The sequence below is a fragment of the Homo sapiens genome, chromosome 8 (assembly GCF_000001405.40).
Source record: "Homo sapiens chromosome 8, GRCh38.p14 Primary Assembly".
NCBI classification, from domain to species: Eukaryota; Metazoa; Chordata; class Mammalia; order Primates; family Hominidae; genus Homo; species Homo sapiens.
This window is the reverse complement of record NC_000008.11, coordinates 105,432,952-105,454,959: the sequence shown is the minus strand read 5'-3', so window position 1 is coordinate 105,454,959 and position 22,008 is coordinate 105,432,952. Positions and strand designations below refer to the sequence as shown.

At 35.6% G+C, this 22,008-nt stretch overlaps 1 protein-coding gene across 9 annotated transcripts in view; it reads right to left on the bottom strand.

Moving 5' to 3' along the window:
- Nucleotides 1–22,008, bottom strand: part of ZFPM2 (zinc finger protein, FOG family member 2) — a 486,102-nt gene that overhangs the window by 349,580 nt on the left and 114,514 nt on the right. For 8 of the 9 annotated variants that reach the window (NM_012082.4, NM_001362836.2, XM_047421634.1 and 5 more), the window contains one exon: nucleotides 10,579–10,680. In NM_012082.4, the coding sequence (NP_036214.2) occupies nucleotides 10,579–10,680 (102 nt within the window). Of the gene's footprint in view, nucleotides 1–10,578; nucleotides 10,681–22,008 lie in introns of those variants that run through there. The other variant, XM_047421633.1, reaches the window with a different exon arrangement.

Sequence of the window (22,008 nt, the reverse complement as noted above, 5' to 3'; positions counted from 1 at the left end):
AACAGAAAACTAACAAGATGAACCTCTGACATTTTATCATGCCAGGAGTAAATAGGCTATCAAAGTCTATTATGTTCACGTCAAAATGTCTCAGAAACCACCCTGAGGTCTTAGTCACTTTTGGAGGGTGAAGGCACCAATTCACTATTCCAAAAAGTTTTAAATAATGAGAACGATGCATTTACCCTCCCCTTTCTTTATGAACAGTATTTAGGCTAACCAAATAGTGGACGAAGGGAAGACTTTCATAAGATAATAATTTTAGCTAATACATTCACATAAAAAATGACAAAATGTGAAAACCAGCATTTTGCAAATCCTACAGATACAAGGGATCCTGGCAATAATTATTAGGGAAAAGTTGATCAGAAACTTCACAAACATCGGATCAGGCTGAAACACCTAAATCACCTGATACACGGTACTATCACTGCAAGTGTAAGTTAGTGATAGCACAAGTGAGCATTCCTACCACATAGTACATCACACACTTGTACTGATAGTGCATTGGAGCATCCAGTGGGGCACCCAGTCTTTATGTGCCTGCTGATATAAAGCAGTAAAAAGCACCAAGCAATGTGTAGGCAGTACTGATGCCCACCATATCGAATCTGAATTTATTCAAGGATCTAGATTAACAACCAATTTACAAGAAATGTGGGGTATCGAAGAACATGCTACACAACACCACCAGGATGCAATCTACCCAATTTAGAATATGAAAAATACTCCAGGAGAAATTAATTCATTTCCACAAATAAGTGTGTGTATGGGGGTGGGGGGTGAGTGTAGGGGGAGAGAGACTGCTCTCCATTCGAAAAGACTTTTCATATAAACCAATACATGGATCTTTATTGAATCCTGATTCCAATAAACCAACCCTAGAGAAATTTTTTGAGATAAGTAGGGAAGTTTGAAAATGAATTGAGTTTTAGATAATATTAAGAATATTTTTATGTGTTATATTGATATTTGTTTAAAACAAAAGTCCTCATTTATTAGAGAGACTATCAAAGTACCCGTGAGTGAAATGACATGATTTCTGAAACTCGCTTTAAAATACTCTAGACACTTTGGGAGGCTGAGGCGGGTGGATCACTTGAGGTCAGGAGTTTGAGACTAGCCTGGCTGACATGGTGAAACCCCATCACTACTAAAAATAAAAAAAATTACCTGGGTGTGGTGGCGCACTAGGGAGGCTGACGCAAGAGAATCACTTGAATCCAGGAGGCGGAGGTTGCAGTGAGCTGAGATGGGGCCACTGCACTTCAGCCTGGATGACAGGGCAAGACTCCATTTCAAAAAGAAAAAAACAAAACAAAACAAAACAAAAAAAACTCCAGAAAAAAAAATTTAGAAGGAATTGATGAAATCAGATTAGCTAAAAGTTGATAACTTTTGAAGTTGGGCAATGGGTACATGGGAATTCATTGTACTCTTCCCTCTTCTTTGATGCATGTTTAAAACTTTGCATATTAAAGTATAAAAAATAAAAATAAAAACAAATTAAGTTAAAAATGATTGGTCCTCACAGAAGTCATTACTGAATCTCTTTCTACCAGACTGGGCTGGCCCCACCACTGATAATATAGTTTTATGGTATCATTTAAGTTACTTCTAGAGAACAGATATCACATATGCAATAAGAACTCAAAAATCATTATTAAAACAATTTTCAATTTCTGGTAGAACATACACTCTCTGAAGTTGAGACCACTCTGGTTTATTTACTGCTGTATATCCTAGGGCCTACCACTGAGTGTTGCATATAGTTAATACTAAATATGTAGTTGAAAACATAAACTTGCCCTAACTAATTTATCTGTGTACTCAGTCAATATTACCCTTCTAGTAATTTAGTTCCAAATTTGTGGCACATTAATATCAAATTGTTTATATCTCTATGCATCTATTTTATTTTTCATGATTTTAAACTACTTCTAATGCATATCGTGTTGATCTTTACTTATATTTTAAGCCCACTTAAGTTATTTTTAAAACCAGACAAAATAAAAACAAAACAGGTTTACTTCTTTCTTTCAGCTTTCCAGATACGAGAGTCAATTTATTCTCACATATATTTGCAGAGCACAATACTGGTACAAGGAAATCAATGCCAATAATCTCTGGTCCAATATAAATATTTAATGCATAATTTTGGATTTTGTTTGTTTGTCGTTTTGTTTTGTTTTGTTGTTGTTGTTGTTTGAGACAGGGTCTCATTCTGTTGCTCAGGCTGGAGTGCAGTAGCAGGATCACAGCTAACTATAGCCTCAAATTCCTAGGTTCAAGCAATCCTCCTGCCTCAGCCTCCCAAGTAGCTTGGACCACAGGTGCCAGTCACCACGTCTGGCTAATTTTTTTTTAATTTTTTGTAGAAATGAGGGTTACACAATATTGCCCAGGTTGGTCTCAAACTTCTGGGCTCAAGAGATCCTCCCACCGAGGCATCCCAAAGCACTGGGATTACAGGCATGAGACACCATGCCTGGACAGTGCATACATTTTAATAATGGAGGTTATAAAAAGAATGGCAAAGATATTTCTTATATACCAATTCCTACTGACTCGTAGTGTCTTTCTAAAGTGCCCTGTTGAGATGCATTCTAAGCTGAATTATGGTTCAACGAGAAAGAACACAGTAAAACCCTGTTAGTGGACACAACTGGGGTGGGTAGTGGTTATTCAAACCATAGAAATGTTTTTAAAATAGTGTTATAAGCATTATATTTTACTTCATAATGCATAAAAGCATCAAACTTTTGATATAGGGTCTAGAATTTTATATAGACCAACCAATTTGTGTTTCACTTGTATAAACAGCATTCACATCCTTTATGTATGATTTCTAGTTTGTTTCATTAGAATGGAGGATGTAAAAGCTTTTGCAAAGCTATTTAAGTGAAGTTTCTTTAACATTTTTTAAGATTTTTCTCGCAAATTATTCAAAGTTTTCTGACCACACCTACATTTTTTAGTGATTTTCCTTTATCCAGTCTTTTGAAGGTTTCAACACAGTTTTCATAGAAATAATATATTTTTGTGAACATATTTCATAGGTTTAGACAATATTTAAAATAAATTAAAAATTATAGTAAAAAGTATGCCTGGGAAGCATATAAGTGACTGCCCACATAGTTTCCTTCTAACTCCTGGCTGCTGTGTCAGTTTGCTGAGTGGCTGAAATAACAGGAATTCATTGTTTCACAGTTCTGGAGGTTAAAAGTCCAAGATCAAGGTGTCAACGGCAATGGTTCCCTCCGAGGGCCATGACGAAGTATCGGTTCCATGTCTCTCTCCTCTAGCTTCTGGTGGTTTACTGGCAATCTTTAGCTTTCCTTGGCATGTAGAAGTATCACTGGGGTCTCTGCCTTTATCTCCACAAGGCATTCTCCTGCATGTCTCCCAGAGAAGAGCAGTTATACTGGATTAAGGGTCCACCCTACTTTACCATGACCTCATCTTAACCAATTATATCTCCAACAACCCTATTTCCAAAGAACACCACATTCTGAGGTACTGAAGGTTAGAATTTGAACATATAAATTTGGCGGTATAGAACCCAACCCAAAAGAGCTTTCATCAGTAAGTTTTAGAGAGGGAGCTTCTACTGTAAATAATTGGTGAATTGTCATATATTTGGGGGCCCATAAGATAATTATAAAATTTGACACTGTATCCATTTTCCAGTACTGTGTCTCATGAAAAGGTCACTGCAATGAAAAGGTCCAAGGAAAATTTATCTCAAATTCATTATCTTTAACTTGAATTTCTCAATTTAACTTATGTAAACAAATTAGATGTTTGCAAACTCTAAAACAAGCCACTATCTAAATATACTTAGTTCCCATTCTTACACAGCTGAAGAAGTATAATCATCATAATAGTAATAATAAATTGGTATACTTTATAAAGTTGTTTGTGAATCAAAGACATTAGCTGTCTTTCCAGTGATCCAACCTACTTTTTTTTTTCTTTTTGGTTGTGTTTATGTCTGTCCTAATTCTATATGAGAGTGCAAACTGGAGTAGGGAATAAAAGAGAACTTTTTTACTGTGTTCATGTGGCATTCTGTTCTACAAAGAGCCAGGCTTTCATCTTTTAATCCGATATCCACTTAACTACACTACAGAAGATTTATTTTTTACCCCCTCTTGTTTCATAAAGGGCTCAAAAGTCTGTACCAGTTTTTGACACTTTGTTATAATATTTTCCTGACCCCCCCAATACACACACGTGAGCACACACACACATACACACACATTCCTCTCTGCCTCATTTTCATATGGACACAAAGCATTGAGATAAAATGATGGTTCATTATAGTGGTACAGAGCTCTTATCTTCATCCGGCAAGAGTCATTTCCTTCCAAAGATTGAAATGCAAATGTGAAAATTAATGATAACTGCATTATCTGATAGCAGAGATAATACCAATTCACTGTCAGAGTAATACACAGTCATTCTAGGATTTCCTCCGCTTCTCACAATATTCTTCTTACTGTCAGACTATATCTATGGTTAACTATGTTTCATAGGTTTCTGTTAATTTACTTCAAATGGCATTTCCAAGATCTTATATCTACCACATTTTCCCAATCAAAAAGGAAACGAAATCAGAACTGTAATCTTCAAGCCCTTCTTTGGACTAGTAAAGAGGGGGAAAAAGCTGTATCATTAAGTATGTGCTTCTATCTCATAGTGGTCTTCTGGCTACAGTTTCACTTCATGCAAAAGTGATCATCTTACTAGTTTAAAGTACAAAGCAGAACTTGCCTGATCATCTGTATATATCCATAATGTTGAACAGCAACTGTATAAAGCAACTTATTTACAGATACCTTGACCAATTTTTAGTCAAGATGCAACAAGTAGACAGGTCTGATTTTGCCCTAGACATTTATTTTTGAAAATTTATTTACATTAAAAATTCTTGAATTGAATCATGTTTTAAGTCGGGTGGAATAGAACATACTTAATATAATACTACGATGACTTTTACATTGCAAAATCATTTGCCAAATTAACCCACTGCAACTAATGTTTAACAAGGACTTATTACATGTAAGGCATTGTAATGGCCACACAGGTACAATTGCTGAAATGATAGTAAAAGTAATATTAAGAGTAATTAATTGAGCACTTAGGAAGCTCTGAGCTCCATGCTTTAGATGTAAAATCTCATTAATGAGGTAGTTATTATTATTAGCCCTATTTTACAAACAAGGAAACTGAGGCCTTGGAGTGTTAATAGCTTGCTCAAAGTCACAAAATTGGTAAGTGGCAGAACCAAGATATAAACAGAGGGAATGTTTTTGGCCTTCTCCATTCATGACATTACCCCAAAATAATTTACCTTTGATGGATACTCTGACTTATCAGCGTAGCAGCAAGTTTTAATATTTGAAAATGTATAATACAAAAAATGATTACTAATTTTATTCTATTAATTCATCAAATCATCAATATAGTGTTTGATTTTCTACTTCATTTTTATTGAAATGACCCAAAGCTTAACATATAAATATTAAAATCTATTTAAATAGAGGTATATACTTATCCTGAAAAGTTTGTGTCAAAGAATTTCAATACCTGCTCAAAATGTTATACCTGTGTATGTCTGCATTAACACATGTTATTGTGGGGGTGGGTACATGTACTTATTTGCATATTTAAGTAGCATGATATTTTCCTTTATTAGAGCTCCTGGAAGTTTCAATTATAGCTGCTATAAGCCTGATGGTAAGACCAAGATTTCATGCAATATTGTACCAGACAAATCAGATTTTCACTATTCTCAAGTGTAAAAAGTAGTAACCATGTTTTAATAAGGTAATTCCGAGAATTAGCATACTGAAAGTTGATGTAAGTAAGATGTGACTTTTAAGGTGCTTGTTTCATAAAGGTAGATGACAGATTTATAAAGATTTACCTAAATTTTCTTTCCCTAGTCTCCTTCTAAATACGAGTACATAAAACAGACTTCGGTCATGGAATGTGGTTCTTAAGATCGCCAGGGATGTAAACACTATTTTCAAAATAAGGTCAACATTCCAACCATTGGTCAGTCTGAAAGGACAGAGTGAAAAGTGTTTAACAAAGTTCAGTCCTAGGGTAAGGGAAGACCACTTACGTTTAGCAAGTCCTATTCTCTCCCAAGTTCTGTGCTGGATACTTTGTAAATATCATCTCTTTCAAATTTCATCCAAATCACAGTATTTCAAGCTATTATTATTCCCATTTTAAAGATAAGGAAACTGAAGCTTGGCCTGAACTTCTGAACTTAACATGCCAGAATCTAAAATCTGTACACTTCGTTCTGTAGTTTAAACCATACTCTACTCTCCATTCTATGAGATGCTTAATTATTGCATCAGTGACTCAAATATGGTACATGAATAATTAAAGAAGCCCACAGGAGGGAAATGACATCAAAAAAATGAGAATACAGACAGCATGATGTTACACCTTGAACTTCTCCCAAGTGCTTTTAACAATTATTACAATAAATGCAAGATAAATATTTATTGAATAATTAGACATATAAGAATATTGGTAAACTGAAGAACTTGTGAGAGTGATAAAACACAAAATTTGTGAGGACAATCAAAGAAAAGAAAAGATGTTTACTAAAAAGAAGACAGATAAGATAAATAAAATATAGGCAAAGACAGATGAAAAACCAGAATAGTGAAGAGCAAATGTTCTGTGAATTAGATTCCAAGCAAAGAAGTGTCCAAGTAAAATTTTATAAGGAAGAAAGAACAATTACATTAAAAAACAGACTTGAGAGGTACTGAAATAATGAGACAATGACTTTTATATTGGCTTGAACCCTACCAGCTTAGTGTGTCTAGCTTTTCACTCAAACCATGAAAGATTCATAGGAATTTGAAGTATACTTAAACAGGAATCACAAACATTTAAACATGAAAGAATTTCACCATAGAAATGTTTACATGTAAGATAATTTTCTTAAAGATTGTTTAGGTTCCACTTAATCATAACAGCTAACAAAGGTGTGAGCAATAGTGATAACAAAACATATCTTTTAGTTGAATAACATAAGGGAAAAAGTACTTTCCACTGTGGAATCTGCATTTGATAAAATGAAACACGTCAGACGGGAGTTGATTCATTATTTAATTCAGCCATCAAGAAAGGTTGTGGAGTCGTCGTCAATCAAACTCTTTTAAAAAAAGATAAATCCTGATCCATCTTAAATGACGTCAGCTCTATGCCTCAAATTCTTTAGATAATTTTCCCATCCTTTGACTCTGTTCTATTTTTAGAGAAAATCATCTCTCTTAGGGTGACTGTCAGAACTGAGGTGGAGAACCTTAAAATTAGAAGACCTTGAAATCGAAATCTGTTTCAATACCTCATATCTTAATCAATAATTTGCGGCTAAACTCAATTAGTATGACAAAACTTTTCTCTTTATTTCTTCAGATATACTAGTGGGCATTAGAAACTCTAAAGGTTCGGCTTCAAGACTCAACAACTGCAAAGCCACAATAATGATCACTGACATTTCATGTATATGATCTGATTTAATTCTCTAAGAGTTGTTAATATTATTTTCTATTTTTTACAAATGAGGATATAGGTAAAGTGAGAACAGGTTTTTGGTTTTTTTTTTTGCCAAACTTCCAAATTTTTTGCCAAAAATCTCCCAGATAGTGAGTATTAAATCCAGAATTGAACCTAAACCCATGGAATCTAAAGCCTATTTTATTTTTTTATTAATTTTTAATTTTTGTGGGTATATAGTAGGTGTATATATTCATGGGCATATGAGATATTTTAAGACAGGAAAACAATGTGTAATAGTCATATCAGGGTAAATGGGGTAACCATCAGTAAAGCCCATTTTCCAATATATTTGGAAACTGTCACTAAAAGTTGCACAATTTTCTCTCTGACTACAGTTGGAAAATGCCAATACTATTTCATTAATAACAAAACTTGCAGTAGTAACATCAAAGTAATTGCTGTTTATGCAATAGCGAAAACACGAAATACCCCCTACTTTCTCCCTAATCTCCTGATTAAAGGAAATTAATGAATATTCTACCTTGAAAAGTAAATAAATAGATATTGTTATGAATCAACTTCAATTCAGGGATTTTCATAATAATAAAACCCCTTTTTTGGCTAAATGTGTATAGAGAAAAAAATTGTTATTTATTTTATAATAGACGAAGAAGAAATTTTTTTGTAGCCATACCTGCTTAGAGATACATATTTTCTCTTCAAAGTTTTGTCATAACCATATGTGCCCAGAAAAGAGTATAAAGTTTTTTTACCAACAGCAAATAAATAAAAACATTAAATTAAATACATTAAATAAATTTAAACGAAAATGGAAAATTCTTCATTTTGAATGACAGCATAATTCTTCACCTTGTTCACTTTCTCTCCCCCTCTTTTATTAGCCACAAATACAACTTTATTTCTCGAAAAGCTTCCTGAAAAAGGTAGCACTGGGTGTACAGCATGTGTTTGGCATTTTATCCCCTAAAATTTGCTTACTTACTCCCAAGTCACTGGAAAAGCTATGGGCCCCAGACATAAACAAAGATAAAAACCTACTCCCTACAAATTTTCCCCATCATAAGAGTAAGCCAGAATGTACCTTTTCGCAAGCAGGCATATCTAAAAGGCCAACTAAACTTTTAAATGTAAAAACACTTCTAAATTAACATATACATACTTAATTCTATGAATAAGGAACTATCGCCGGGCACGGTAGCTCACGCCTGTAATCCCAGCACTTTGGGAGGCCAAGGCGGGAGGATCACGAGGTCAGGAGATCGAGACCATCCTGACTAATATGGTGAAACCCCGTCTCTACTAAAAATACAAAAAATTAGCCAGGCGCGGTGGCACATGCCTGTAGTCCCAGCTACTTGGGAGGCTGAGGCAGGAGAATCGCTTTAACTTGGGAAGCGGAGGTTGTGGTGAGCCGAGATCATGCCACTGCACTCCAGCCTGGGTGACAGAGTGAGACTCTGTCTCAAAAAAAAAAAGAAAAAAGAAAAGAAAAGAACTGTAAGAGGCTGGGTGCAGTGGCTCATGCCTGTAATTCCCTTGGGAGGATGAGTCGGGCAGATCATTTGAGCTCAGGAGTTTGAGACTAGCCTGGGCCACGTGGTGAGACCCAGTCTCTACAAAAAATATAAAAATTAGGCAGTTGTGGTGGTGCATGCCTGAAGTCCCAGCTACTTGCGGGGCTGAGGTGGGAGGATCACTTGAGGCTGGGAGGTGGAGGCTGCAGTGAGCCAAGATCATGCCACTGCACCCCAGACTGGGCAACAGAGTGAGACCCTGTCTCAAAAAAAAAAAGGAACTATAATATATAAAAGTTCACTCACTGTTTTTAAGTTAAAGGTAACCTCCATGACAAAACCTAGATGTTCCGAAAATCTTTTCCCTACTTTTTTTTTTAATCGAGGGAATCTTTCCCCACATTGAGAAGAAGCATCATGCCATAAGGTGAAAATGCCAGAAGGCTATATTTTCCTTCAAACTCTTAAAATGTGGTAATAAGGTACTTTAAATATAATACATTTTTGATATAAAATCTTGTATAGCATTATGTTATAGTATACAGAATACAAACATTTGTGTGTATGATGAATAACATTAGAAATGACATCATAATAATCAGATATACTGTATCTTCATTTTTGTTTGCATTATATTTTCCAGCTGCTGGTTTCAGAAAATTACTGCTGGAGTTCCTCTCTTCTTCACGTACAGCAGAGAGCAATTTGCAAAGTCATGCAAGGGTGAAAATGTGATTGAAATATAGGGATCTTTCTTAATGAAAAATGTTACTGCTTTGGAAATTACGGCTAAAACTATCTCAGAACTCACTTATATTCTTAAACCTTGTGACATAATAGTCTCCATTTATAAATATACTATCAATTGTAAATTACTTGGCACCAAATATAAAGCCTTTTTTCTGCAGAGTTCTTTTGACTGTTATATATTTACATACATTTATATTGGTGTGGTGGAGTATTTTGATCAGTTTTTGTTTTTCTTTAAATGATTAAATGTCAAGATCATTAAAATCAAATGTAATTTTCCTCATCAAAATGAAAATGTTACTCAAACCTTAAATCAAAAGGGGGCATCTTTTGATATTTTCTAAACTTCTAAATATGTATTGAGGTTCAACCTATGATTTAAAACATGACTAAACTGAAAATGATAGTTCTTTGAAGTACTGTTTCTTGTTTGTAAGCTTTAATAGTGTGCCCAATTTAAATTTGGATGTAGCTTAAAGATCCTTTGTTCAAAGAAGCAAGTAGAATTGACTAATTTTACATGAAGATGAAAGAAAAAAATGACAGAAACTTCAAGCAGAGGTAGCACTTTGGTTTTTATAATTTATATAACAAAAATCTAAGAAGTATTTTTAAAATAATAATCTTTATTTAAACTCTCATGTAACCAGCACACACAAAAACATTTTTTGCAAGCTAACTGATGTTCAAGAAAAAAAGAAAAATGTGTATTTCTAACAGTACTAAAGACGGTTGAATTTTAAATATTCTCCCCTACCTGGTCCATCCCAGTCGTCTGTCTCAACTCCAGGTTGCCCCGGTTTCTCTGACTGTGTGTCCCCATCTGATTCTGCTGTCTCCTGGATTCCTTCATCATCACCTGGAAAACACCAACACAAGGAGAGAAAGAAAATGAGCAAAGCTCTCTCTTTCACATTCACACCCTCATAAAGGGATGTCCTTATCATATATCTAATTACAGGTTTGTTATACATATTGTCATTACACTAATAAATGTTCATGACTATTTTGATATCTATTGTGGCTTCACAATAAAGAAAATCAGTATTTGTTATCAATAAATGAATGAAGTTAAGTACTATAAACATAAAAACATTTCCATGTAAATTTTCCTTTGGAGTTATTAATATATATAAGAAGAAAATGAAATTGCAGTTTATAATTTTTTCTAAGACTTTCAATACAGAAAAACTTAACTCATTGATTTCCAAATTATAACTTTTCTAAAGACAAGATGCAGATAAATAAATATCATAGAATAAGACATATTTATGGTTTTGGTTGAATTTAGATTACTTTGAAGAACACTTTTATTTTTCCCCAGCTTTATGCTCGCTAAGACTGGGTCTTATTTGTTTTAAAAATTTAGTGGAAAAGGCCATAATTAAATGATTAGCCAGTGACTCAACTCCTCACAATAAAAGAAACTATAAACCTATATTTTTGCTTGAATAAATACAGCTAGTTTCTACAATTTTATGCCATCATTTTCACATTAAAAAGGCAGTAACATTCTGAGCAAAAATATAGTTATGGCAAAGGAGAAACCTTAATGATACAACCATATTTTAAAAGCAAAAAGTCTAATTAATGAGTACCTTCATTTTAAGTGATAATGTAACAAAGTATGTGCTGCTTTTAAGAAAAGTAGTCCACTTTAATATAATGCATACTTTAAAATACTAATATTTTGCCATAAATGGTAATAAAATAGAAACAAAATAACAAGAAAGTATGAAGACAAAAAAACATGAATACTAAAATCACAGCAACTATGCCTTGAATTTAATAATGCCAAGTTTTTTTTTTTTTGTTTTTTGTTTTTTGAGAAGGAGTCTTACTCGCTCTGTCACTCAGGCTGGAGTGCAATGGTGCAATTTCAGCTCACTGCAACCTCCACCTCTCAGGTTCAAGCGATTCTCCTGCCTCAGCCTCCCAAGTAGCTGGGATTACAGGTGCCTGCCACCACGCCCGGCTAATTTTTGTATTTTTAGTAGAGATGGGGTTTCACCATGTTGGCCAAGCTGGTCTTGAACTCTTGACCTCGAGTGATCCACCTGCCTCGGCCTCCCACAGTGCTGGGATTACAGGTATGACACTGTGCCCGGCCAATAATGCCAAGATTTTTAAATTAAATTGCTTGCCTATCTAGCTTTCTCTGAAGTATCCAATAACTATTTTCCAGTTTCCCAACTCTCTAATACCACTTAAATCTTTATATGATTATACAAAAAAAAAACACTGAACTTCTAAGAACTTCCAAAGTTACTTAGAAAATACAGAATTTTCAGGAAATCATGATTACGATGAATGACATTTAACATGATGTTAATATGAGCTTTGAAGTTAAAATTCCATACATTTTATTTTCATTTCTATGTGTAGCTTCATAAAATGAACTTAAAATCTGTAATAAAGGTAAGGAGTAGGAATGTAGAAACCCAGGATCAGCTCTGTTGAACTCAGTTTACTTAACGGAGAGCACGGATTCTAGTGGATATTAAAGAATAAAATACATAAACCACACCACTGAATCCCATGTCTTAAATTAAAATATTTTTGAAAATATTTTTCCTTTCAGAACTATCAGAATGAACACCAATGAAATTCCCTCCATAAAATATTGAGCATCTACTATGTTTAAGGAACTGTGGTAGGTGCAGGATGATATTTACAGAAAAAGACAGTCCGTTTTTGAAAATAAAAACACAAAGAGGGTAAGTTGACAAATGAAAATGCAAGGTAAGGTCCAAGTTTTTTTTGTTGTTTTTTTGTTTTTGTTTTTGTTTTGCTTTGAGACGGAGTCTCGCTCTGTCACCCAGGCTGGAGTGCAGTGGCGCGATCTCGGCTCACTGCAAGCTCCACCTCCTGAGTTCATGCCATTCTCCTGCCTCAGCTTCCAAAGTAGCTGGGACTACAGGCGCCTGCCACCACACCCAGCTAATTTTTTTTTTTTTTTTTGTATTTTTAGTAGAGACGGGGTTTCACCGTGTTAGCCAGGATAGTCTCGATCTCCTGACCTCGTGATCCGCCCACCTCGGCCTCCCAAAGTGGTGGGATTACAGGCGTGAGCCACCGCGCCCGGCCCCAAGTTTTCAAAACAAATTTTTAAAACATTTTTAAAACAAATAAGACCAAGTCTTAGCAAGCATAAAGGCACACCATAAAAAAGTCTCAGGAACAAAAAAGGGTTTATCTTCTGTGCCCCATTTTGCAGGTTACATAGACGCTAGCCCTGAACTAACCAAGTTCCCTTCTGCCTGACTGTACCTGCTCTGGCCCTTCTCTACTGAGCCTCCTCCTGCTTCTCTCAATCCAGAAACTATGTGATGAAAGCCTGGTGAGCAGGAGGTTTATGGTATCCGTTTGGATTGGTCAGATCCCAGGCCATACCAGTAGTCTTTGAATATCACCCCTACATACATGTAAGTACTGAACTAATGTCATGTAATTAGCAAACTGGCATAACTGGAATCACAATGTTAGCTGTGGTGGAGAACCCTAATGTCTCCTGGACATTCTCTGCTTGTCCCTTCTTGCTGGCCCCAATCCGCTCTCTTCCTTCTTGGCCCTGCTTTGTGACCAAGGGATCCTGAACTCCTATAGACTCCAACACCGGGGCGCCCCTGGGCTTTGATTTCTTTCTTTCTTTCTTTCTTTCTTTCTTTCTTTCTTTCTTTCTTTCTCTCTCTCTCTCTCTCTCTTTCTTTCTTTCTTTTTTTTTGTTGAGACAGAGTTTTCACTCCTTTTGCCTGTTCGGATTATCAGAATGAATACCAATGAAATTCCCTCCATAAAATATTTATTGAGCATCTACTATGTTTAAGGAACTGTGGTAGGTACAGTATGATAGTTACAGAAAATGACAGTCCCTTTTTGAAAATAAAAACACAATTAAGGAGAGTAAGTTGACAAATGAAAATGCAAGGTAAGGTCCAAGGGGTTTTTTTGGTTTTTGTTTGTTTGTTTGTTTGTTTTTGTTTTGAGATGGAGTCTCACTCTGTCACCCAGGCTGGAGTGCAGTGGTGCGATCTCGGCTCACTGCAACCTCTGCCTCCCGGGTTCAAGTGATTCTTCTGCCTCAGCCTCCCAAGTAGCTGGGATTACAGGCAGGCGCCACCATGCCTGGCTAATTTTTTTTTTGTATTTTTAGTAGAGACGGGGTTTCACCATGTTGGCCAGGATGGTCGCGATCTCTTGACCTCGTGATCCACCCGCCTCAGCCTCCCATGGTGCTGGGATTACAGGCGTGAGCCACCGCTCCCGTCCCTTGGCCTCTGATTTGAGTTCAGCCACCGGAGGCACTGATAGCATAGCAGAGGATCAGAGGTAGGAGGAGAGAGAGGTCAGGTATTCATCCCTTATTCCCTTCCTTCTTGATGGTCTTCAGTTGCTAGCAGTGACTGTATCGCAGAATTAGAGCTCCTGTTCTATGGTGCCCTCCTGCTCCTGCATCTTCTCTCGTGTCTTTTGAGACCAGAAGTGCTAACAGCTTCCTACTGTGGTGAGCCCATAGATGCTTCCCATCCCTGGTTCGTTTCCCTAGTCCCACCCACACCTTGTGCACTATCCCTTCACCAAAATGCCTTTAGTTAAACCCAGTGACCACATCATCAGTTTCCTGATGGACTCTTACTGATACACCCCATTTCTTCCCAACTTCTTATGCTACTTTTATGATTTGGGGCCAGTCACCATGTATGTAATATTTTGGGTGCTACTTTATTTAAATTGACTCACTTTTTAATAACTGATTTCATAAACTAAAAAAAAAACCAAAAATGTATTTTAAAAACAAACAACATATATGAAAAACAAAAACTTTATCACTACTACAAAGGGAAAATCAGTATCACATGCCAAAAATAGAAAGTAATCACAAAATAGATTCAACAAAAATACAGATAATACTATTAAATGCTAGCTACCATCTCTATTTAGACTCTGAGTTTCTATCTCATTGCTTTGTATTAGAAAGGGTAGCAAGTACTAGAGGAGTATTTAAGTGATAAATGGTAATATGAAATTGAGACATTCTCACTGATATACAAAGAATATAAGAAACTTGAGAACTTTTTTACCATTGATTCAAGGCTATTTAATAAAATATCAGTTTACCATCTTAATCTTCTTGAGTGCCACTAGGGATACCTGACCCAATTTGGGGAAACGTTGACCTTTCCAATACTTAATTTTTCATGGAAGCTAGAATCTACACAATTATTTACCACTTAGGTGAGTGACCTTTTGATTACATTTTCACAGACTAAATGGAGTATCACTCTGGGAGCTAATTCAGGGATGTATACAAAAGGAGTTGTTCTCCCCAATGGTAAAGAATAGAGAATATACCCTACAGTTTTTAAATAATATCCACTCCTTCCAAGCACTTTTCTTATTCCTTATGAATCTTGAAACACAGGGATTTGAGCACCAGAGGGGACTTTGGAAAACATGTAGCCCAAATTAGATCAATTTACTATTCAGGAAATTGATGCACAGATAGGGTCAATAACTTATCCATGGTCTTACAGCTACCATATTAGTTTCTGCATAAGGAACTTCCTCAAATATCATGTTCCAGCAATAAGTGCTTCCCACACATCACAGGGGTGGCAGATTGAAGCAGTTTTATGTAAATCTCCTTTCCCCAACAAGCAGGATAGTAGGGCTATGGCATCATAAAGGCCACCAAAAACAGCAGTTTGTACAAGATTATAAATTAAATTTGAGTCTCCTAATTGCTAGTCTGGCATTCTTTCCAAAACATCCTTTCTCTTTACATCTCTCCTCCAGTTGAGGAGAGAACCATGAACACCTGAATAATAACCCCAGAGCAACCCATTAACAAACAACCATGAGGCCACACTGTTAAAAATTATATAGCCAGGTGCCCAGATAACAGAGAATAAAATCTAAGCAGAACCACTTAGAGAAGTTATTTTATATTCAGGTATTAACTGTATTGTCCTTACATTCACACAAAGGAGTAAGCCTTCCTGCATCTTACTGTTACATTTCAGTTGGAAATATATGGTGCTATGCAAAATTCAATCAATCATTAACATTACTCACACATTTTTGAAAATACAATGAGAAATATGAAAAATAAAAAAAACAGTGCTTTCTGTTGAGGACCATATAATCTAGTTGGGGAAATAGGCAATATGCATGAGAGCAGTAGCCACTGATAAAAACCTACAATAAAGATAGTTCATGAATAATTCCAAGTGGTAAGACATAAAGTATAGAAATTCAGAGACCAGAAGCACAAAAAGAGACTGACCATGAAGAAGCCATATAATGAATTTTGGAGTTCTACCTTCATGTTGACTGCAATGAGATGCACTGGAGGTATTTCAGTGGGGGGACTGATATGACCCTGTGATACAAATACAGTAATCAACCTATATTGACTAAGTTCCTATGAACATACCGTATCAGACTTCGGGTCTTTTGAGTTCTCCCTTATTCATTCCATAACAACACTCATGTCTCAGACATTCTCTCTCCCAATTTTTGTGAGACCATGGTTAAGTCTACCCCAAAATATTTTATTAAGCAAATTACATATTTTTGGAAGAAAAAATAATGAGAAAAAATAGAAAGGAGTGTGTCTGGAAGAATACATTGCCGAGTAATCAGAGTTACCACAAAAATTAGAACTTAAAGAAAATGATCCAGTTCAATTGATAAATGTTCACCTCTGTTAAACAGAAGTGATACAAAGTGTTCTTTATTAGTTCATTAAAACACAGCTTTTTCAGGCCCAGGCACTGTGTTGGGCACTGAGAATACAAAACAAATGACTACTCTCATCTATCACATATAGACCAGTGTAGGATACAGACAGATTGATAGGGAGCTGCAAGCTGGTGTGATGAGTGCTTTGAGGGGAGAAGTTCATGATGGGACAGGAGCACACAAGCATGACAACAAACCCAGACTTGATGCCACAGAAGTTTCTTGGAGGAAGAAACCAATAAATATCTGAAAATTTGAAGATGTGAAACTGAACTCTGTATGTTTAATATCCTGAGGCTACATGACTAGAAACAACTTTTTATTTTTTATTTTTATTATTACTATTTTTTTTATTGGAGACAGAGTCTCTCCCTGCCAGGCTGGAGTGCAGTGGCACAATCTCGGCTCACTGCAACCTCCACTTCCTGGGTTCAAGCAATTGTCCTGCCTCAGCCTCCTGAGTAGCTGGGATTACAGATGCGCACCACCATGCCCATCTAATTTTTGTATTTTTAGTAGAGACGGGGTTTCACTATGTTAGCCAGGCTGGTCACGAACTCCTGACCTCTGGTGATCCACTCACCCGGGCCTCTTAAAGTGCTGGGATTACAGGCGTGAGCCACCACTCCTGGCCAGAAACAATGTTTAACATTAAAAATGGCAGCCACCTTCCCAAAGAGTCCCATAGGAAAAGATTATGGTAATTAAGTTATTGTGCAGGAAACATGGCAGCTTGAAGGTGGTGAAACTAGATAGTTCAATGAGGTAAGAGTATAATCCAGAAGACATTTTAAGATGCTAAAGAGTTTGAAAAGTACTTCGACTGAGTGAAGTCCTTTCCTTCATTCAGTATATGCCAAATTTACCCCTGATCATTCTCATCCCGTATCTGATAGAAAATGTCAAGATGAAAATTTTGTAATTCAACCTATTAAGGGGTTGATTGAACAAGTAGTTTCATATGATTAAAAAACTTTCATTAAATGTCACTTAACTGCCAAATCAGAACTGTAGAACTTAGATTTCAACTTGGTAGCAATACTCAATATTGATAACCTAGATTCATTGAATGATTTGCTCCAATTTGTTTCATTCATTACAAATAATTAGAGATACTGAAAATAAGTATTGCCGAGTATTTAAAGAAGCACTACAATAGTAGTTAAGTATACACATTTAACAGCTCAAAATAAATTACATTTTGCACCTATTTTGAGCAACTTATAAAACTAGGTAAGGGGTATGCAATATATATCACATTAATAAAAAAATTTGGAGAGGAAAGAATAGTTTAAACTTTCTAATTATTTAATCTTTTCTTAAAGAAAGAATGCAAATAAAAAAAGAAAGATGACTAAAACAAAATAATCTCATATGAAATGATAAATTTGGATGTAGAAAACAGAATGGAACAGAATTTAATTTATATTCATTTCAATATCTGCTATATGAAAACACTGAAATCATAAAGATGAATAAGGTATAGATCATGTCATCAAGATCAGATTCTATACTAAATCTAAACATGGCTATCATCTCTTAAGCACTACTCAGCACTAGGTATATTGCTAAATGCTTTATAAACATCACATCAACAGATCTGCCATGTATTAATATTCCTATAGTTCAGAAAAATAAACCAAGGGGGAGAGATGTGGAAAGATGCCCAAGCACACTGCTAGTAAGTGGCAGAACCAGGATTTGATGCCAAGTTAGTCCGACTCCAAAGACCATGCCTCTAACTTACTAGGACATTACCGTCAAAGTCGACTACATGGCAAGCAACAGAGATAGCAGGATGTGATCTGACAGCTGCTTTATCCTTATCATGTTTAAGTCCCATTTCTTCATTATGGTTGCATAATTTTTTTTTTTTTTTTTTGAGACGGAGTTTTGCTCTTGTTGCCCAGGCTGGAGTGCAATGGCTCCATCTTGGCTCACTGAAACCTCTGCCTCAAGCGATTCTCCTGCTTCAGCCTTCCCAAGTAGCTGGGCCCACAGGCACATACCACCACACCCAGTCAACTTTGTATTTTTAGTAGAGACAGGGTTTCTCCATGTTGGTCAGGCTGGTCTCGAACTCCCGACCTCAGGTGACCAGCCTGCTTCAGCCTCCCAAAGTGCTGGGATTACAGGTGTGAGCCACCGCGCCCAGGCACTTGCATATTAAAATAAAATGGTTAACGAATTTGATCTTCATAAGCATTATTTTTTCCCTAAGGTTTACTATTTTACTTGGCACTTAGAAAAATCAACTACATACAAATGTTAATCAATTACCATTGCTTACTGAGCACTTAAAAAATTAGATTTTAGTTTCGTTCTTTTTACCATAACTTACTGCAATATCATTACACTTGCTAATTAATTGCTTTCAGCACATTCTTTCTATTTAATAAATAAAATGTCATAAGTTTCCAACTTTTAGACCCTTCATCTTCTAACTTTATCTCAGAAAACTAGTTCTTATTTTTATGGTAATGTTTTGACATAATTCATTTTTTAATGCTTTTTACTAATGAAAAATAAGTGATTACAAATAATTTAATCAAATATGAAATCTTCGAATTACTTTTAGGAAACTATTTTTTTTCTCACAATAGAGACTTGCTTCTTTACTTCCAATATATTCTCATGAAAAAGTTATAAATACAATTTTATTTTCATATTAACCCAAGCTTCTTCCTAGTTTAAATGAAATTGACTTTATTGACCAACATTTTTTTTTACTTCTATCCATTTTTGATTCTATGTTTGAAATCGGTACTCTAGAGTAGCTTAGGAAAATTGGAATGAATAATTAATAGCAAGATAATAACGACAAGTTTGTTAAGATACTGCTTCACAAGCTGTGTTGATAGGAAGAGGAAAGGAAGACAGAAAAAAGATGCCAAGAAGAGAATTACAGAAAGAGCTAGGAACTCATTTAACATCCATTCATTTACTTTCTAAATTTTTTATTCATATACTTTTAAATAGAAATTTCAGTGTATTTTCAGCAAAGCACAAACATATTTAATGGGATAACCACTATATATATCCAGAGACCAATTCATAAAATGATGAAATGGAATAAATGTCAAGCAGTAACAAAATCTATAATATTTCCAAAATTATGGCTATGAAGTTAATGGTTTTCCATTGCAAGATTAAACTCTTTTGTTACTCTTTTAAAAGATATCATACGTATTTTGTGGGCCTTTCCATTTTTCTTAGTCTAGGTTTCAGAATCAATGAGAGTCCTATAGGAGGAAATTGAAGGTGTTATTGAGCAATATAATGCATAGCATAAATGGCTCGGGGAAATGCACTTGAATATAGTCTTTGAAACATATGAAACAGAATCTTTAAATACCTTATTAGGTATTGTTGGTAAGATAGTAAAAGCAGTGGCTCCACTCGCCAGGCAAAAATAATTTAAAAACCACAAACAAACACCTTTTCACTGAAAGTTAAATACTTCTGTAGAAATTAAAGATTTGCCACATTCCGAGACAGTCACTTTTTCAGCACAGAATAGCAGCAGTGTTTGAAAGCAGTCATGCAAGCAAACAGCCCTTCTCAACCTTGCTCTTTTAATCCATGTAGTTCCTATCAATATTAACCTCTTATAGAAATTCTTGTACAATATAACTATTGAACTTTCTTGACTAGGAGTGTTACTGTAGCTGTTAGTCATCCCTATAATGCATTTTGCAATCAGCTAAATCATCAAAGTATTTTTTAACAATGAACAGTTCAGAAGTGACAGATCTACTTTCTTGTTCACAACTGCTTATCAGAGAATAGATATCACATATGTTTTCCAGGTGCTTCCTATAGTTAGGATACCTTCACAGAAGAAGCTCATGAAAGATAAGGTCATAAAAGAGATGAAAAATGTGTGAGCTTCATACACTTATGGTTTTATCATCAGACAAGATAGCTTTGGTTAAAGGACTTCAACAGTCAAAAACAGAAAACTGCAGCTCATACGGAAGGGCGAGGACATTAAAGTTTAAGATTCAGTTTGTGTTTGCTTTGCTTAATAGCCTCACAATATTGTGTAACTTAACACAATTGTTTGGTTATAGATTATCCAAACAGAAATGTCATGTTAAATTAACTCTATGTTACCAAATTATAGACACGATTCTATCTCCAGGAACAAAAATAAAAACATGCAGCTGTTCCCTTTATGGCAATACCTAAAAAAAAAAAAATTAAGAATTTCAACTGTTTGAAAAGAATAGATCCATTATGTTTGTGGATTCCTATCCTGGTTTCTAACTCAGGTCTCCCTTTGACTTACTACTTATGTATAATAAAATGCAGAGTTTTCCCATCTTCTGGGTAGTTATATTCAGTATACAATTATTTTTTAAAAATGCATGTGACTTCTTTGTAACTTATTTGGGGCTTTCCTATCTGACAAAATATTATTATTTTGACGGTAGTTTCAGACTCCTTAATATGAAAGATTAAGCAGATCAAAAGACTAGAACCCACATTTATTTGGCTATACATTTGAGGACCGCAGATGAGGAAACAATCCTGAAACAGTTGATAACAGTGGTCCAGGGCTAACACTGTCATGTTGAGAAGAAACTCAATTTCTTTTTTCTTTTTGAGATGGAGTCTCGCTCTGCCTCCCAGGCTGGAGTGCAGTGGCGTGATCTCGGCTCACTGCAAGCTCCACCTCCCGGGTTCATGCCATTCTCCTGCCTCAGCCTCCCGAGTAGCTGGGACTACAGGCTCCCGCCACCACGCCCAGCTAATTTTTTGTATTTTTAGTAGAGATTGGGTTTCACTGTGTTAGCCAGGATGGTCTCGATCTCCTGACCTTGTGATCCAACCGCCTCGGCCTCCCAAAGTGCTGAGATTACGGGCATGAGCCACCGTGCCCAGCCGCAATTTCTATAGTTAATGCATGACTACTGCCATTTGTAGTGTTTCATCATAGCTAGTAAGGAGAAAATATTGAAAATACTAATGTTTATGTTTACCAACATCATGTAAAAGTCACAATTAAAGTATTGATAACTGAGGAAGAAAGAACATTGAATTATTGAACACAGTACTGAATATTTATCCCTGCTATCAATATTATCCTCCATGTGAAAATAGTTTTTCTCAAAGTTTAAGTTCACTGAAGATTTGATGCATAAGGGAAATTTCCACATGAAATAAGACAACTTTTCATCGGTATTATCTCTTGATAATTTTATTCCTCATTATTTCTCTCAACGAGCACATGAAAGGGTGAGATACATAAGCAAGTGTGGGAAAACAAGGCATTCAAGGAATTCTATTTTTTTTTTCTTTTGAGTCAGAGTCTTGCCAAAGCTGGAGTGCAACAATGCAATCAGTTCACTGTAACCTTGAACTCCTGGGCTCAAGCAATCCTCCTGCCTCAGCCTCAAGTAGCTAGAATAACAGGCCCAAGCCACCATGCCCACCTAAT